General features: G+C 49.4%; 5 annotated features.

The window, feature by feature from the left end:
* Positions 3,294 to 3,794: an enhancer, noted in NCBI's record as "H3K4me1 hESC enhancer chr15:89039910-89040410 (GRCh37/hg19 assembly coordinates)". NCBI's record gives its function as "activates a minimal SCP1, AML or CMV promoter by ChIP-STARR-seq in primed H9 embryonic stem cells {active_cell/tissue: H9 hESC(primed)}" and the evidence as "EXISTENCE:reporter gene assay evidence [ECO:0000049][PMID:30033119]".
* Positions 8,774 to 9,273: an enhancer, noted in NCBI's record as "H3K4me1 hESC enhancer chr15:89034431-89034930 (GRCh37/hg19 assembly coordinates)". NCBI's record gives its function as "activates a minimal SCP1, AML or CMV promoter by ChIP-STARR-seq in naive H9 embryonic stem cells {active_cell/tissue: H9 hESC(naive)}" and the evidence as "EXISTENCE:reporter gene assay evidence [ECO:0000049][PMID:30033119]".
* Positions 11,596 to 12,112: an enhancer, noted in NCBI's record as "H3K4me1 hESC enhancer chr15:89031592-89032108 (GRCh37/hg19 assembly coordinates)". NCBI's record gives its function as "activates a minimal SCP1, AML or CMV promoter by ChIP-STARR-seq in primed H9 embryonic stem cells {active_cell/tissue: H9 hESC(primed)}" and the evidence as "EXISTENCE:reporter gene assay evidence [ECO:0000049][PMID:30033119]".
* Positions 12,113 to 12,630: an enhancer, noted in NCBI's record as "H3K4me1 hESC enhancer chr15:89031074-89031591 (GRCh37/hg19 assembly coordinates)". NCBI's record gives its function as "activates a minimal SCP1, AML or CMV promoter by ChIP-STARR-seq in primed H9 embryonic stem cells {active_cell/tissue: H9 hESC(primed)}" and the evidence as "EXISTENCE:reporter gene assay evidence [ECO:0000049][PMID:30033119]".
* Positions 15,182 to 15,971: an enhancer, noted in NCBI's record as "NANOG-H3K27ac-H3K4me1 hESC enhancer chr15:89027733-89028522 (GRCh37/hg19 assembly coordinates)". NCBI's record gives its function as "activates a minimal SCP1, AML or CMV promoter by ChIP-STARR-seq in naive H9 embryonic stem cells {active_cell/tissue: H9 hESC(naive)}" and the evidence as "EXISTENCE:reporter gene assay evidence [ECO:0000049][PMID:30033119]".

Raw genomic sequence — 18,782 nt, 5'->3', positions numbered from 1 at the left:
GACATATGTTCATTGCAACTTTTTATGAAAAAGTGGGAACTGTTAAATGTGCATCGGTAGAAAACAGACTACATACATCGTCAGACAGCCATACAATGGGATCTGATAGAGCTGTTAGAAGTAATGAGGCAAATTTGTACATACTGATTTGGAAAGCTCTCTGAGACATTAGTTGAACTGTGTTTAGCATGATGCTATTTTTCGTGTAAAGAAAAAACTAAACCGTGCTGAACTTAAAGTCAGTCTGCATATAAATACATACATGCTTGTAGAGTCATAGAATGCTTTTGAAAGGATGCAGAAGACTATTAATGGTTTTCTCTGGGAAGTGGGCATGGAAGTGAGGGAAGATAGACATTTCCCTTTATCTTTGTAATTTTTTTTCACTGTGAACATGAATTAAGAAAATCTTTTTCATTGCAGTAAAAAAACATAAAATTTATCATTGTAACTATTTCCAAGTGTAATACCACTGCGAGTTCAGTAGTGCTAAGTACATTCAGGTGGTTATGCAACCAGTCTCCAGAACTTTCATCTTGCGAAGCTGAAACTCCATACGCATTAAACAACAACTCCCTGTTCTCCCTCCCCACAGACCCTGGCAGCCGCCATTCTACTTTCTGTCTCTATGAATTTGATTACTCTAGTAATCATATAAGTGGAACACTAGTATCTGTCCTTTTGTGACTGGCTTATTTCACTTAGCATCATGTCTTCAAAGTTCATGCATGTTGTAGCGTGTGTCAGAATTTCCTTCCTTTTTAAGGCTGAATAATACTCCATTGTGGGTAGATACCACCTTTTGTTTATCCATTCACCCATCAATAGACACTTGGGTTGCTTCCACCTCTTGGCTCTTGTGAATAGTGCTGTGATGAACAATAGATGTGTAACTATCTCTTGGAGAGCCTGCTTTCAATTATTTTGGGCATATACCCAGAAGTGGCATTTAATGAGATTTTCTTAAAAGTATTTAACAGATGAATTCACCTGCAGCAGTAGAGGTGGTATTAGGTAGACACTCTGTGGGCTAGTTGAACTGAGTAGTCTGAGGCCAGATTTTCTTTACCAGCCTCCCAGGGGTTTAGCAATTTCATTCCTGCCCCCTGAGCCTTTCCTTTGCGCAGAGACAGGAGGAGGCTTAGCAGGCTTGTGAACCAGCTGCTCCCATCTGCATTAATTCAGCACATTTCTATAGCTCCCTGAAGGAGGAGATGGTGCAGCAGCATTTAATTAGTGGCCAGGAACATGCTTTCCCAAGGACACGACTTATTTCTCAGCCAGCTGCTGCCTGTTGCTCCCTAGCAACATGAAGTACTCACATGATTGCTCTAGGGCCCTTTCTCTCCAGACGAGGGGGTGGCCAGTTCACCTGCTGTCATAGCCTGGGGTGGAGGCAGGGGTGTCCTTGGGTCTGGGGCTAATTCTTCAGAAGAGGGTGGTCTGAACTTGTTATTCCTGCCAGCTGTGGTACTGAACCTCTTGATCCTTGAACTGCCTACTAGCGGTTCAGGAGCTCCACCACTCCTCTCCTTCAGGTTCATGATTAGAGCAGACAGAATGTGACCAGCTATAACACAGACAGAGCAACATGGCCTGGAAAAGTCCACTGGGATTTTAAGGTACAGCTGAGAGACTTTGAGGAAGAGGGAATGACCTCAGCCCCAGTTGGGAGGCCTGCCTTTCAGGATGGACTAGGGAGGGCGGGTATCGGAGGCCCTGACACCACACCACCTTGTGCAAGAGGAGCAAGGGGAGCTTCAGCCTCATCCTAGGTGACTGGCTAACTGGCTAACTAGGGCCCTTGGAAAGAGAGAGTGTGATGGCAGATATCCAAAGCAGCCACCACTGTGAGTCTGAACTTGCCTTCCTCACCAGGTTTGAGAGATGGCTGCTCAGAGACTAGACTTCAGACCAGGCTGGTTCCTCCCAAGTGCTTCTGCAGAGGTTGCAAACTGGAGGCCTTGAGATGAGGTGCTGCACACTGACATGCTTTATTTGGTATGTTTGCAGTTTTGAAGTTTTAAAGAATATCCTGCTTTTTCATGTTGCTGTCAGGAAGCCTAACAGTCCCACATGCCAATAATCGGGGCCCCCTTTAGACTGAGCATGTGTGCTCTCCAGCTTACACAGTCCCCTCCTCACTCCTTCAACCCTGTTTGAGTGTGAGATTCCTGTGTCCTTCTCTAGCCACAATGGTGAGCATGGCTGTGTCTGCAGGGGCCACCTCGTATTTATTCATTCATTCCACAAACATTTATTGAGTTTCTTTTGAGTATCTGGCCCTGAGCTAGGCACTAGGCTAAAAAGATCAATACAGTGTGGTCTTTGGACTCCCTGAGCTTATGGACCAGGTTCAGAGACAGACAAGTAAATGGGCTGGGGGGATTCACTGAAATTAGGTGACAGTTGCACAAGGTTTGGGGGAGCACAGAGACCTTGGGTATCTGACCTAGACTGGGGGGTTGAGGAAGGCTTCTGGCAAAGATATCACCTGAGGTGAAAATTCTGAAGGATGAGAGGAGTTAGCCTGATGACAACAGGGGAGAGGTGGAGGAATGGGAAGAGAAGGGTGTTCCAGCCAGAGGCAGTGAGGTACAGACGCATGGAGGCACGACAGAGTTTGGCATGCTTGGGGACCAGCAAACAAAACCTTGCTTAAAGCTAAGTGCCCCCATTGGGGTGGCCAGGGAGGCAGTGGGGAGCAGATCGTGAAGAGCCTTGTCAGCCTTCTGAGCTTTTGCGTTTAGAGAGTCCTTGAAGAGTTTAATTGGTGAAGCCATTTGTCAGATTTGTGTTTTCAGATTACCCTGGCTACAGAATGGATTTGATGCAGGAAGCAGGGAGGTCTAGAAAAGAGGCCTTTACAGTCACATAGGAAGTAAATCATCTATGCGTAGGAGACTCCTGAACTCCTCCCTCCCACCCTGTAGGCAAGGGAGACCTGATGAAAGGGAGGAACAGACTTTCAGAGGTGCAGAAACTGCCCTAAGTTCGGCCTCTGCTGTTTGCATTCAGCCTGCGTTCTTACTGCTTCCTCTGCCCACTTTGTTCCTGCTTCTCCCACCCTCACTAGCTTCTTATAACTGGCAGCTGGACTTGATAATATCAGCGGAGGCTTGGCACAGTGCTGGCACAGTCAGTGCTCAATCAGGGACAGCTATTGTTGGACAACCTGGCTGGCAGAGATCTCAGCTTCCGTCCAAGCTGCTGCCTCTCAGACGGAGCTCTCAGTGTGCTGGGCACTATCGCACGTGGCCTGTCCCAGCCTAGGGTACCGTCCCCTCTACACCTGACCAGGCCTCAGTGCCCTGTGCCCCAGGGTGGATGGTCAGGAGTGCTGGTGGGTTGGCAGTGGTCAAGGGATGGGGAGGATGCGATGGATGGGCATGATATAGAGAGTGAGCAGTTGTACACGGGCGACCAAGGGAAGGACAAAGTCAGGGATGAGTCAGCAGGTGGGGGAAGATGGTGCCCAGCCAAGACTGGGGAGCCACGAAGAGGCCAGTTGGGAAGGAGAGATGCCGGACACGGTTTGTGGTGCTCATGAGAAGATAGCCAGTGGGAACATGCATGGGAGAGGCAGGTAATGAACCTGGAGAGCCAGACCTTGAGACTGGAGATCAAGCTTGAGGAGCCAGAGGCAGAGCATGCAACTGGTATCATGAGAGCCACCGAGTCACCCAGGGGAGTGTTTTGAGCAGTAACTGTGTGCCAAGCATGGTGTTCTCACTGTATTAACTGCTGAAATCCTCACAGCAACCCCATGAAGTAAATCAAGAGGTGTTTCCGGACCGCTCAGTTACCAGCCCTCAGTTACTGAGTGGAAGAGTTAGGATTTGAGCTTGCGTGGTCTCTGCTTCCGAAGCTTCTGTTGAGAACTGTCACGTGCCTGCATTGCTGCCCTCTCTGGGCACCTGTCCTAGGGAGTCGTCAGACATTTCCGTCAATCTAAACGACAGCTCTGTGAAGGAGACAATAATATTCCTGTTTTCAGATGAGAACATTGAGGCTCAGAGACTTGCCCTAAATAACACACATGGTGGATGTAAAATCAGGATTTGAATCGAGTCTGATTCTGAAGCCTGAGCTGTTGTCATGAGCACATGCTGTCTTTGGGGCCAGGTTGGATAGTGAAGGAGGCGAGGACCCCTGCAAACCTGAGGCAGAGGAGTTCTGTGACCCAATGCCCAGATGAAGCAGAGGGGAGGGGAGTAGGAGCGAGAGAGGGAGAGTGCCGGAGGGACAGAATTCATCACACTCACCAAGGGAGGGAGGCTGGTGAGTTGCCTAAGATTTGGTCTCTAGAATTCTGACTCCATGCTTCCTCAGCTCTCTGACCCTGCTGTATTGTCTCAGCCTCAGTTTCTTCATCTGTAAACAGGCATAATAATACTGACTGCTGAGTGTGGTTTTGAGGATGAAATGAGAGACTTCATGTCTGGCCAGGGTCTAATATGTAGTGAGCCATCCACAACAGAAAGCACTTGTCAAGTGCCAGGCTAGGCTGCCCTCTCCAGAGAGCCTCTCCTTCAGTCAGGCTGGGCACAAGTGCATGTTTGAAGGGTTAATTTGGCATTTTCAAGTCATTCTACCCATGGTGAGAAAGTACTAGCTTTTTCCATTTCTGGAGAGACTATAGGAGATGACAGCCTTTGGTCTGGCTTCCATTCCAGCTGCTGCTTATTGATGAAGTGAAAATAGGAAGCTACCACCTCTCAATTCTCCTGCTGTGCTGGCAACATCGGCCTGTCTCAGCCTGCAGACACCTTCTAGGTGTGTGTTTTTTATATTGTGTGAGCCACAGGACAACAGGATTCTGGCTTGGGGGTGGAAGTGCAGAGGAAGACGGTGGAGGGCTGTGTTCTCTCCACACCTTCCTCAGAAAATACAAAAGAGTGGCTGGGCTGTGGCCACTCAGTGCTGCAGGTAGCACAGAACTGCAGGCAGACTTACACTGCAACCTCACACTGAAGTAGTGCTTGCAAGGTCTCCGAGGCCACCTAATTCACAGGCTCCCAGCAGTTTCCAGTCCAGGGCCTTGGTTCACCCATACAGTGACTTCAGTGGGCTCACCCCCATGGTTCTATTTTTCAGACCCTTTGAGTGACGTTGTCATTTGATTGGTTCCCATAGCATTTGAACCTCTTTCTGGGTTTGTGTGGTCCTACACTTTCTGAGTTCTAACTGGAAGCAAAGGCCAGCCTCCCTCACAGGGGCATTGCTGCTGAGGCTCTGCCAATCAGCCCACCTGTGCCAGACTTCTGGAGCCAGCTGTGCAACACAGATATCCTGGGGGAGCTCCCTTTGTAGGGCAGCAGCCCCCAGATACTAGTATTTTAGTACCAAGGTTGAGTTTTCCAGATCACATCTGGAAACAGCATAAAAAATTATTCTACTGCTGGAGTGATGAGGGTTAGGCAAAAGGATTCCCACTGCATAGACTGGGAAACCAGTAAGAGAACAAGGACAAGGGAGTCACTGACAGGGTCACAGTTAGCGTGCAGGCCTTTCATTTTATAGTCTTGCCGCTAGATCCTTAAGGTCCGTTCATAGTTTTCAGGACACTTTCTGAAGAGGGTTCTAAAGCTATTCCTTTGGGCCTCCTTAGAGTGCAAACAGAGGAGCTGAAGGCCCTGAGTTAAAGCAGGCATCTATAAGCCCCATCCAGGGGGAGTGCAGGGGAGCTAAAAACAGTGAGCACTTCTTGGGCACTTGAACCAGACACTGTGCTAAAATTCTTTGTGTGTGTCAATTATGATCCACTCAACTCTCTGAAATGCCTATTGTTACTGTCTTCATCTTACAGATAAGGAATTCAGGCACAGAGAAAGTAAGTAATCTTCTGAAAGTCACAAAGCTGGAGCCAGAATTCAAACTTAGACTTCAGGCCAGGCGTGGTGGCTCATGCCTGTAATCCCAGCACTTTGGGAGGCTGAGGTGGGCGGATCATGAGGTCAGGAGATCGAGACCATCCTGGCAAACATGGTGAAACCTCGTCTCTACTAAAAATACAAAAAAAAAAAAAAAAAAATTAGCCGGGTGTGGTGGCAGGTGCCTGTAGTCCCAGCTACTCAGGAGGCTGAGGCAGGAGAATGGCATGAACCCGGGAGGTGGAGCTTACAGTGAGTGGAGATCCCGCCACTGCACTCCTGCCTGGGCAACAGAGCGAGACTCCGTCTCAAAAAAAAAAAAAAAAAAAAAAGACTTAGGTCTGCAGCTCAGTCATCTTTACCCTGCTACATGAGGCACTGGGGAAGGGTATGGGGTAGGGAAGGACAGACGGTTTATCTGGAACTCACACTGCATGCAGGTGGCCAGCCATGTGGGAAGGAGGGAAAATCCCCATCTGAGCCACAGATCCAAACCAGAAGGAACTGAATGAGATGCTCCGAGGGATAAGGCCTGTCTTAGAGACATCCTCGCATCTAGGAGAGGGGGCGGCAGATGGGCAGCCGTGGAGCCCAGCCCTGACCAGCTGCTGTTTGCAGGGGAGAGCTGCCTGTGTGCCCCTGTGGTGAGTGCGTGGTGACAGTGGGATTAAGTGTACCCAGCAACCTCAGGGACCACTGGGTGGAGGAGACGCACGGCGGGCCCTTCTGCCTGGCCCTTCCCGCAACTCTGAGTCCTGGATGCTTGGGGCTTGCTAATCTCCATCCCCACGGCAGCGGGATGCGACACAACCATTACTAAGGCCATGGAATCTCCCACCTCTCGATGGCCAGGCGGTTCACCCAGCAAGTGTCTCCTAATCTGAAGAGCTGGGAGAGCGAAAGATTTTATAAGTTATCAGAGAACCCCCTGTAACCTCCCTTCTAGAAAGGAAGATGTAAACCAGGACAATGGGCCTGTAGCTGGCACCTGAAGTCAGTGATCTCTCTCCTCCCCTCCTCTAAATTCTCCTTCTTCCGTGTTTTCTACATCCCCCGTGATTTGAGTCTGCTGATTTCATTTGTTATGTCTGCCTTCTGTTTCCTGCCTCATTTCACAAAGAATTAGATGCTGCTCTCAACAATACATTCAAAATAATACAACCATAAAGTAAATATTTGAGTAATTTGGAGCCAGAGGAATATATGGTAACACCCTGAGGTGGATGAAATGCCGGGATTTCTTAGTGACCCCTTTTCAGAATACTGCTTCTGGAACCATTCTAGTGTGTCTCAGAATGACATGTGGGACATATTATCTTTTTTTTTATGTTATATAAGCAATTTATTCAATGCATGTTTATTAAAGCACCTATGTTTTGAAAAGAAAAAATATCTCTACTTTTCTAAATTATTTTGTCACATTTTGGAGATATAACTATGGTCCTTTCACAATCAGACCCCGGTTAATGTTTTGGGTTCTAGATAACACTGTAGAATCCACCCCATGTATCATTTTAGTCATTCATCTTGTTGTTAATCCAGAGTTCACTTACTGTTTTGGGATGTTTCTCCAGAAACAGTCTAGAAAACCATCTTAAAAGTCACATTTTGTAATGCATGCCAGTGTTGCCATGCCGTTTTCTGGAACACGGCTGAATCTGGAGCTGGGCTTTTGCTCCTCTGCATTGTGGGGCAGGTCAGGACAGCTCTGGGCAGCTGACATGGTTAGAGGTGAGGCCCCCACTCCAGCCACCGCCATAGGCTCTCCTGTTCAGTGAGGCCATCAACACACATTTAGCACCTACCCAGCACTTTCCTAGGCTCCAGCTACAACAAAGCCACAAATCCTGCCTTCATAGAGTTACATTCTAGCCAAAGACACAGAACATAAACAAGAAAACTAACGAGTGACATGATCTGACTTGTGCTTTAAAAATAATACTGTGAGGTGGGCGGATCACTTGAGTCAGGAGTTTGATACCAGCCTGGCCAACATGGTAAAACCTCGTCTCTACTAAAAATACAAAAAAGCCTAGCCAGGCGTGGTGGCATGCGCCTGTAATCCCAGCTACTCGGCAGGCTGAGGCATGAGAATGTCTTGAACCTGGGAGGCAGAGGTTGCAGTGAGCCGAGATCACGCCACTGCACTCCAGCCTGGGTGACGGAGGGAGACTCTGTCTCAAAAAAAAAAAAAAAAAAAATTACTCTGGATGTTGGGGGCAAAATGGAGCTGTGCTTGGAGGATAAGGTGGTTAGGAGGCCAAGGCAAAGGGCCAGGCAAGAGTAGGGTGGTACAAGGAGAAACGGTGAGAAGCAGTCAGATTGGGATATATATTGGAGGTTGGGCCAACTGGACAAGTCAATGAGCTCAGCACAGGGGTAAGGAAAAGGAGTCAATGACTGCAAAGTCTGTTGGCCTGACAGTAAGTGGTTACCTTAGGTCAGACTGGGTTAGAGGAAGGATTTTCTGGGGATGGGATGAAAACCAAGAGTTGCAATTTAGCCATGTTGGGTTGAGCTGTTTATTAGACATTCAGTAAGAAGATCTATATATTTCTAGTGATCAGTGACCACTCTGCTAAACCTGGGCTGGGTGTGTTGGAGTAGAGAGGGTGGTCCCACAGGAACAGGCTGCCAGCCAGCCCCACAGCCTATGACCAGGGCAACCCGGAAGACCCCCACCCATGGCAACTTGCTCTAGTTTTATAAATTCACTCATTCATTTGACACATTCAACACATATATTGAGTGCCACGCTGGATATTTTCAATGTGCCCTGCAAAGGCACAAGTTTATGGTATAATCTAAATGGATGGATAACATATTCTTTTCTGTTGTCATATTTAGTGCCCTAACTTTTGAAAAAACACAAAAGCTGGCTGAGTGAATGGATCAGTTTATAAAATATAGTTAATAAGGCCCATGAGTCCTGGCTGCCATTGCTAGGCTGGTGGGAGGACACATGAACTCAGAGCCCTTTTATTCTGTGCCTCTGTCCCTCAGGCCACTCTCTGCAGGCCACCAACTCCTCACTGCTGTCCACTCTCCATTCTCCAAGTGTTGCCATGCCTCTGATCACAGCCCTGCTCGGGACCCTTAGGCACGCCCCAGCCTCCTCTGCAGGCCCTTCACTGCCTGGCCTCAGCCCTGTTTCCAGTCCTTCCCCTCAGCCCGCACCTGCACTGACTCCGCCCCATCCTGCCCGGATCACTCAGGAGGGCTGTTTCCTGGCTCCTGGAACACAGCCAATGCGTTTCTTGGCCTTCTGCGCATCATTCATGCCATGCCTTCCGCCCACTTGTTGCCACAGAAGGCCTAGCCCAGCAGCTGCCACCCTCAGAGGACTTCCTTCCCTGGTCCCTGCCCATCTCTGCCCCCAGCACAGTGACTGCCATGCTCCTCGGTGCTCCTGAGGTGCTGGTCCTTCGAGAAATCACAAGCCCACCCAGGAAGCACTGCTGCCCTGTGCCTGGGAGGCTGGACTTCTCCTTCAGTCACAAGGTGCAGAGAAGGCAGGTGGCCCGTGTTCTCGCTGCCCAGCCAGCTCTGCGTGCAGTTAGGGAGCCAACTCACTGTGAGCTCCTGGAGGCTGAGACAGGGTCCACAGTCTAATGCTGTGCTTTTCGGCAGGTCCAGGGTAGGGTTACTGCAAAGGCCTTTCCTGGAACTTGCTAGAGGTGCAGACTTTCAGGCCGCACCCAGGGTCTACTGAATCAGCACCTGCATTTTCACAAGGGTCCCTAGGAATGCATGTGAACAGCCGAGGATGAGAAGGGCTGGTAAGAGAAGGGCTAGTCACCTCCAGACAGGACTTAATAAAGGACAGCAAAATGAATCCAACAGTGGCCACCCATTCCAGGCCAAGTAAGAGACTTTGAAAAGGTGTATTGCACCAGTCAGACTCTTGGTTGCAGGAAACAGAAACCACTCTGGCTATTTTAGGTGGAAAAGGATTTGTTACTGGATATTAGGTGTTTACATATCCTTGGAAGGGTCCAGAGTGTCCCTGCAGATGCCCTAGGTTGCTGCTACCTTGGTCCCCATCAGGAAGACAGGGCTTCCGGGGGGATTGTGGGGGCGGGCGACCTTCAGCTTCTTGACCCCAATGGAGGGGCTCTCATGGCCACTGTCACAGCCACCTCTCAACACCCACAAAGCTGCTATGGAAAAATCCACCATCTCCCCAACAAAAGAGTGGGGAGTAAGCAAATGCTTTACTAAAAAGTAAAAAAACCCAAGATGACCAAGGGCAGGGGGTGGGGGTGGGGCATGAGGCTGGTCTCTGCCACTCTTCTTCCAATTCTTGTGCAGGCACAACTCGTGAGACATCATATACAGCCACAGCTGCTTTCCCCTGCTTGGAAGTCAAGCGAAGGGCAGCTGGCTTGTAGAGTGTGGAGCCTATCACAGGTGCAGGGTGATGTCTCATGATCTGGCTGAAGGCTTGCTGAGCTGCAGAAAACCTGTGAGCCTACTCCGTGCCACCTCTAAAGCAGACTTTAACAAGAGAGTTCTTGGGAGCAAAGCACTGATGGTGCCTCATGTGACTTGGTTGGGGCATCACCATGCAGGTAGATAATGGAGCATGCTTCTTCCAGGAGAAGCCTGGAAGTGGAAGGCTGGAGGAGCAGCCTGTATGGTAGGGCAAAGAGAGAGCGGCAATGGCTGGGTAAGTTATGCTGCTAGCAACTGGTGGCCCCCAAGGCTCCTGCGGCTCAGTGGGCACTGTGAAGGGAGCTGGGCTTGAGCCAACATTGCTGGTACCCCTCTCACCTAATGGGGCTCAGGGGTCCCCCCAGTAGGAGGCTGGATGGGGTGGGCCACAGGGCAGGAGCTGAGGCAGGTGAGGAGAGGCAGCGCAGAGTGCTCAGGCTTGTCAGGGAAGGGGCTGTGTTTGGAGGCGACCTGGAGACAGCTCTGTGTTGGAGATTAGGGGAGTACCCCAGGATCAATGCCTGTGGGAGGAAGAGGAGGAAGCGGGATCAGGCGGAGGAAGAAGGTGAGTTGTGCTGCAGGCCCCTGGGGGGTTCAGTTGGAGCTGAAACTGCCTGTCAGGGATGCCCCCTGTTGGTGGTCATGCCATTGGAAGGGTGTGGCCTGGGCTGTCCCTGGTGCTGACAGTGCTCCCAGTAGCTGGGCGATAGGTGCTTCCATGAGGAGGTCTGGGCAGTACAACTCCATATCCCCCTCAGAAAGGCCTGGGGCAGAGGTCTCTGCATGGATGGATGGGTGGGGCAAGTCTCCAGAGAGCTCACTCTAGGGCCCATGAAAGAATCCCCCCGGAGTAAAGGAGGTGTAACTGCCAGGGTTGGCCAAGAGAGCCTCACATATAGCACCTGCTGAGCAAAACAACCTGACTCTCCCCGAGTTCCATCTTCTGCGATCCCAGACCTGGAAAAGCCTGAAGATGAGGAGGGGAAGCTGCACGTGGGTTGTGAGATTGAGGTTTTATTATAGACTTGACTGGACTTTTAGGTCTCTGAAGAAGAGTCATAACTATCAAATGGGATTTATTCTTGGAATTAAAAGTAACCAGGCCAGGTGCAGTGGTGGCTCACCCCTGTAATCCCAGCACTTTGGGAGGCCAAGGCAGGTGGATCACTTGAGGTCAGGAGTTCGAGACCAGCCTGGCCAACATGGAAAAACCCCGTCTCTATTAAAAGAAGAAAAAGTAACCAGAAAGCCACAGAGTCTCCCTGAGATGGAGCTTTAGGAGTCTAGAAAGGGAGATGTGAGGAAGCTGATTGGAGGCAGTGATGGGAGAAAAATAAAGGGTATCCTGTCGGTACTCCAAGTTCAGCCCGCTACAGAGTGTGTGCTCACTGAGGGGCTGGGGTAGGGTGGTTCTGTCCTGGGGTGGCAGGGAGCAGAGGAGGTGGGGGATGCTGCACTTTTGGCTTGTCGCATCCTGGGAGGCTTTGGAGTCCACATGTGACCCAGTTTTCTGCCTCTGAGCGAAGTGAGCTCTGATTAGAGGAGGTGTGAGAGCTCTAAATGACTGCAAAGTTTTCAATCAGACAGAAAATAGGTGAGAAATGCATTTCCGTTAATGCCCCAATTATCCCAATCCCAACAGGACAAAAAATGTGCTTTTGCCTGCTCCCAGGGACGAGACCACCAGGATCCCCTGTGTGTCCTCTCCCAGATGCAGCCCGGCTGGCACAGCTGAGGGGGCTGGAGAGGGGTCCTTACAATGCACGGAAGCTCCCCCGCCCTTTCAGAGGGCTCAGGATCAGGCCCAGGCGAGTCCCATCCCTGAGCCGGGGCCCACACAGGCTCTGCTGGTGGCGCCCCTGCAGCCGCTTCTGTACATCTCCCCTCTCCTCCACCCGGAAATGGCACCTTTGCCTCTGCCATGGATTGGATGTCCCCTCCAAAACCCATGTTGAGATTTAATTGCCATTGTGACAGTATTAACGGGGGGGGGGCAGTAAGAGGTGATTAGGTCATGGAGCGGATTGTTAGAAAATCCAGTTTGGCCTTTGCATTCTTTCTCTCTTTTTTTCTTATGCTCTCTCTCTCTCTCTCTCTCTCTCTCTCACATGCCCTTTCTCTTTCTCATGATCTCTTTCTCTCTCTCTCTCTCTCATATCCCCTTTCTTGCCCTTCTGCCTTCCTCCATGGGATGACACAGCACAAAGGCCCTCATGAGATTTGGTCCCTCAACCTTGAATTCACAGCCTTTAGAACTGTAAGAAATAAGTTACCCAGTCTGTGGTATTCCATTATAGCAGCACAAAAGGGACTAAGACAGCCTCCTAAACCTCCCTAGAATCTGCCCTGCCTGCAATCCTGCTTGTGGCTGTTTTCTGCCAGACTCATCTCTCACCTGGATCCCAGCCATGACCTCCTGTGGGTCTCCCTGACTCCAGGTGCCTTTAGTTCGTCCATCCAGCGCCCCAGACCCCAGTCTGCTCTTTCTAAAACACATCTCTGACCATGGCACAGCCCTGTTAAAACCTTTCAGAGGCTCATGCTGCTTACAGCCTGCAGAGGGCCCTGCTGGTGCCCCAGTAGCATAGGGCCCTTCTGATGTTATGAGGCCACCAGATGCCTGGCTGTCCCTCCCTCTCTTATCCCACCTGCAGTCCACCCCAGCCTTGCCCATTTTCCTCTTCTATATCCACCACCCCCAACTTCTCTCCATCCCCACTGACTTCTCCAGCATTCTCTCCTGCCTCTATTAGATTCCTGTGGCTGCTGTGACAAATGACCACACCCTGGGTGCCTAAAACCACAGACATTTGTTCTGTCACAGTTCTGGAGGCCAGAAGTCCCAAATCAGTATCATTGGGCCAAAATCAAGTTGGCAGCAGGGCTATGCTTCCTTCAGAGGCTCTAGGGAATGAAACCATCTCTACAGGGTTGATAAGAATTGCCTGCCCAGCTCTGGATAGAAATATAGTTAGAATTAAGCATTGATCAGGCTGCTCTTTGGCCCTCTTCTTTGTTGCTAAAAGTCATGTAGCGCTGGTTACTGACCATTTGCATCCCCATCGTTTCTACAGATAGGATTTCTGACATTAGGATTCTGAGACTAAGAATTGATTTCATCCACGTTGTTCCTATAGACAGGATCTCTGACATTAGAATCATAGAGCTTTTGTGGAAGGATGGCTTAAGATATTTTCCAGGCCATGAATTCCAGGAATGAGTTTGAAGACCCCCACACAGGAATGGGATCGGCATGAGAATTCAGCTGTTTCATCTCCTTGTCCCGTGACTTCACCCTGCACTCTTCCACCCATCAGTGATCTCCACACTTCGGCCCACTCCAAAACTCTTAAAAACCCTAGCCCCAAACTCACTGGGGAGATGGATTTAAGGTTTCCTCTTATCTCCTCATTCGGTGACCCTGTGATTAAACTCCTTTCTCTACTGCAGCCTGGTGTTTCGGCATATTGACTTGCTGTGCACACCGGGCAATGAAACATCACAGTTTCAGGAACAATCTGTTCTTGCCCCTTCCAGCTTCTGGTGGATTTTGGCATTTCTTGGCCTATGGCTGAATCTCTCCAGTCTCTGCCTCTGTGGTCACATGGCCTTTCCTCTTCTGTTTATGTAGTCAAATCTTCTGGCTCCATTTTATAAGAATACCTGTGACTCCATTTAGGATCCACTAGATCATCCAGGATAATCTCCCCATCTCAAGAGCACTCATATTTCTTTTTCTTTTTTTTAAGAGATGGGGGTCTTGCTATGTTGCCCAGGCTGGACTCGAAGTTCTGGGTGCAAGTGATTCTCCTGTCTTGGCCTCCTGAGCAGCTGGGACTACAAGCATGCACCACTGTGCCTGGCTTTCAAGATCTTTAATTTAAGGCTGGGCATGGTGACTCACACCTGTAATCCCAGTACTTTTGGAGGTCGAGGAAGGAGGATCCCTTGCATTCTACCCTTTGTTCATGCCATCTTCTTTGCTGCAAACTCCCCCCATCACCCCTCATCACCCATAGTTGCCTCCTAACTCTTACTCTGATTTTGAGCTTGTGTCACCTCCTCTAGGAAGTGTTCCTTGATTCATCTTCTCATCCCCACCATAACACACACAGACTCTAGGGCACGCGCTGTCTCACTCACAGGTGTCCCCATTCTGTGGTAGCACTCAGTGGTGTCACAATGGACTTTTTCTGAATTTGTCTCCCCAGCTAGCCTCCTAGGCTGCTCAGGCCAGTTACTAGGGCTTAGACATCCTGAATCTGAGTGTTGATAGATGCTTGAGGAATGAGGGAGGGAAGAAAGACTCTTGAGGGATAGACTTTCCAATCATTTGGCGTTTTCATTTCATTTCATTTTTGGCTGCAATTTTTTTTTTTAAACGATCTGGCTTTATCTACAGTTGGATGAATTTAAGGAATTAGGAAGATGGGTGATTGGCTCCCACAGGACTTTTCTGATTAAAATTACAGGAAAAATATTTGAAAATAATTAATAATTGTAACAGCAGCAACAAGATGGGCATGCATCTGCATTCACCACTGTGCTCCCCGCCAGGGCCCCACAGAATCAGCCAAGGCCCTGCGAGGATGGAAGCTGCCACCTTAGCAGTGTGAGGATTGGGAGGGCAGGGCAGGAAAGGCAGGGCCAGCCTGGATGACACTCGCTGTGCCTGAGCAGAGTACACAGTTGCCTTACAAATCCCCCTGCCAGTCCTGTGAAAGTGGGAGTAGCTGAGGCTCAGAGAGATGCAGCCATTCCTCCAAGGTCACACAGTAGAGCTGAGATTCAAACCCTGGTCTTTGTGACTCCAAAGCCTAAGCTCTTCTCAGCCCAGCAGGCTAGAAGGAATGGGCAACTGAGCAGGGTGGCAGGTGGGGGGCATCGGCAGGGAGCGGGCCTGGCCTAGAGTCTAGGGGAGAACTAATTGGATTCCCTGGGGCATAGAATCTGGCTTGTGTAACATCCCTGAGGCTCTCCCTCAGAGCAGCTTAGTGAGTCAGGATCCAGGCTTTCTTCCCAGCCACGAAGGACCTGTAGGCTCCTTAGATGCTGGAGCTGCGTCCCACTCAACCCCCTCATGGTCCTGAGAAACTGAAGTCTTGTGTTGGGGAGGGAGTGTGGCCTGACAGCCTGCATGCTGAGTCTGGGCTCAAGCTGGGTCTAGACAACAGGTGTCCTCCCAGCCAGGGCCCCCTGTGACACCATGCTGCCCCTCAGTTGACATTTCTTTTTAGTTCAAGGGGATTACGCAAATCCTAGGCGGTTAAGCTGCCGCAGGGCACTATGGAAACAGATCGCCCTGCTCTCTCTGCCTCCTCCTCCCAGCCAAGCAATAATGACACCGAGGCTGACTTTTCTGGCAAGACTTGTTATGCTAATTTGGGAGCATGTGCATAGTTTTATTTGAACCTGGGTGGGCAGCAGAGAGAAGCCAGATTAATTACGAGAACAAATTTCAGAGCCAAATCAGATGTCTTCCCCCAAATACTGGACCAACAGTGGAGATGGGGAGTGTTACAGGGTCCGTGTGTGTCCAAATATATACTAAAAAAATGTTATGTGCACATTTCAGCAGATGATTTATGTAATGCCTGACTGCAGCATCTATACATTTTTTTAAAAAGTTCTTTATTTTTATTTTAATTGGTTCATTAATTAATATGAATAAGTAACATCAATATAGCACCTACTTCTAAAGGTGAAGAAGGTAAAGAGTTGAGTCTGCTTTCCACCTGCTACTCTGTCACCCAGTTTCCCTCCCTGGAGCTGAGCACACTGCCAGTTTGGGATATGTCTTTCCAGATACTGAATGCATACACAAACATGTATGTACACACCTTTTCTCCTTTTCTACAAAAATTAGCAACTACACTGTGCACAACGTTCTGCCCCCACTCGTTTATTTTTCACTTAGCAAAGCATCTTGGTGTGTTTCAGGGCCAACATTCCATTATCTGGATGTACTGTATTGTAATTTAACTAGCCCCCTATTGATGGACATTTAGGTTCCAATCTTTTACAGTACCTTCAAAAATATCTTTGCATACTTGGTACACATGGGAAAGAATATCTATAGCTTTGTGGTCCCACACTCGCTGGTCACCTGTGGCTATTTCAAAGTTAATTAATTCATATTAAATAGAATTTAAAACGCAGTTCCTAGTCACATTTTAAGAGCCATGTGGGGCTAGTGGCTTCCATTCTGGCAGGGAAGATATAGGGCATTTCTGTTGTGCAAGGAGTTCTAGTGGACAGCGATGCTGTCTCTATGTGATACATTCCTAGAAGGGAATTATGAAGCCACAGGTCTTTGCATCTTGTGTTGACAGATATTGCCAAATTTCCCTCTGAAGAGGCTCTAGGTATTTACCTTCCCCCAGTAAGAGCTGAGAGAGAGCACACACTTTTTGTTTCAGAACAATCGGTGTAGAATGTCGGAAAGAACACGAAACATTCCCTGTGTGTACTGATTCCAAGGACATTTTGTTTCCATTGTTGGTGCCCACGTTGCTCACATCAGACACTGCTGTTCCCAATTTACAATGGGCATGCCTGTCCCTGGGGTCCCACACCGCTATCTCCCTCAGAGGGGAGACAGCCACCTGGCTGAGGTCTGCTTCTCCACAGCTCTAAGCCTCTTCTCGTCTCCTCTGCACACCCCGACTCTTGGTCCATCATGGTGCAGGGGAAACTGCTGATCCCATTTATTCTCCATCACCACGAGACAGACTTTACTAGAAAACTCAGCACTCTTGGCCCAACCTCTATTTCTTCACCTCCCACTGTCTCTGACCCTCTCTCCCTTTGGTGAATCATGACCTCCACATGGCTAAACCTAAGGGGCACCTCATCTTGTAGAGTTCCTATCAGACTTCTGGACAGCAACCTGCACTCCGACTAAGCCCTCTGTCCCACCTCCTTCACAGTCTCTCTTCCTTGCATTTACAATCTTGGCCATCTTCTTTTCCCTACTCTGTAGTTTTCCTGGTCTGTCTCATCCCACTATGGCGTTGATTGGCATCTCTACATTTGGGGAATGATGCTTAGGCATTTAGCTTCTATGTCCTTGATTACTAGTAAGATTAAACATCATTTCACAGCTTTTGAGCTTTTGAAATTCTTCTGTTATAAAGTCAGGGTGGAAGCAGAGTAGATGTTGGGTATTAGATATAGATTCCAATCCAGTTCCTGGCTCCTGAGGGGCTCTGGCCCCACACCTCCAGGCCCCCAGAGGCTCTTCTGATTCTCCATGCTCTGGGCATCTGCGTCCACAGCCGCTGCCTTCCCACCACGGTCCCTACACCTTCAGTCTACTGAGGAGAGACAGCCTCATCACCATCATTTCCCCAGCACTGTGCACGCCACCCCCACCTCCCACCCAGTGGACAGGGATAGGCGTCAGCATGCTCCCCTCTCCTCAGCCCTTCCAGGGATATTGTTCCACCACCCCTACTTGACAGCCGTTCTCTTTTGAAGTGCATACGATCTATTACTTCTGCCTTCCTGAATTCTTGGTCTGCTTCCTACACTATGGGCCACTCCACTTTGTTTAGGGACTTTGAACCTCATAGACTTCTCTATCCTTTTCCCTGACATCTACTTCCAGGCTTCAGCATCAAGGTAAGTTTCTTTGTCCACATAATTACTTGACTTAAACCTCAGTGACTTGTATTTCGACTGTATTTTAGACACCCATGTGCCTCACTTCCTCTCCTGTGAATGAGCTCTCTCTTGAATCTCTAACTCTGAAGTTCCTGTTGACTGCAGCTGTCTACACACCCACCTCCTTTTGTCCATCCCATTTGTGGAGACTGCTCTTTAACCTTGGTGTGACTGCAAGTTTTTTTTTGTTTTTGTTTTTGTTGTTTTTTTTTTTGAGAAGGAGTTTCACTCTTGTTGCCCAGGCTGGAGTACAATGGCGTGATCTCGGCTTACCGCAACCTCCACCTCCTGGGTTCAAGCGATTCTCCTGCCTCAGCCTCCCAAGTAGCTGGGATTACAGGCATGCGCCAACCACGATGGGCTAATTTTTTGTATTTTTAGTAGAGACGGGGTTTCTCCATGTTGGTCAGGCTGGTCTCGAACTCCTGACCTCAGGTGATCCGCCTGCCTCGGCCTCCCAAAGTGTTGGGATTACAGGTGTGAGCCACTGCACCTGGCCTGATTGCAAGTTTTATGACCCCTTCCTTTCTCTTGAATCCTCTGGTAAGCTATTCTCTCCATCCAGTCTCCCTATCCAGTCCGAACCGTGTGACCCACCATGTCAACTCAGTGGGAACCAGGAACCTGATGACCTCTCACCCCTCAGCCTTGCATGCTGTTTTGAGCTCCTGAGGATGCTCATTCACCCATGGTTCCTCTTGCATGCCTTCTCCTCCACAAAGACTTCCCTTCCGGCCCTGAAGCTGAGGGGACGGGTCTTTCACTCCAACGCCAATATCACTTGTGCCTCTTTTATGGAATTCCATTCTA

The sequence above is a fragment of the Homo sapiens genome, chromosome 15 (assembly GCF_000001405.40).
Source record: "Homo sapiens chromosome 15, GRCh38.p14 Primary Assembly".
NCBI classification, from domain to species: Eukaryota; Metazoa; Chordata; class Mammalia; order Primates; family Hominidae; genus Homo; species Homo sapiens.
This window is presented reverse-complemented; position numbering and strand designations above follow the sequence as displayed.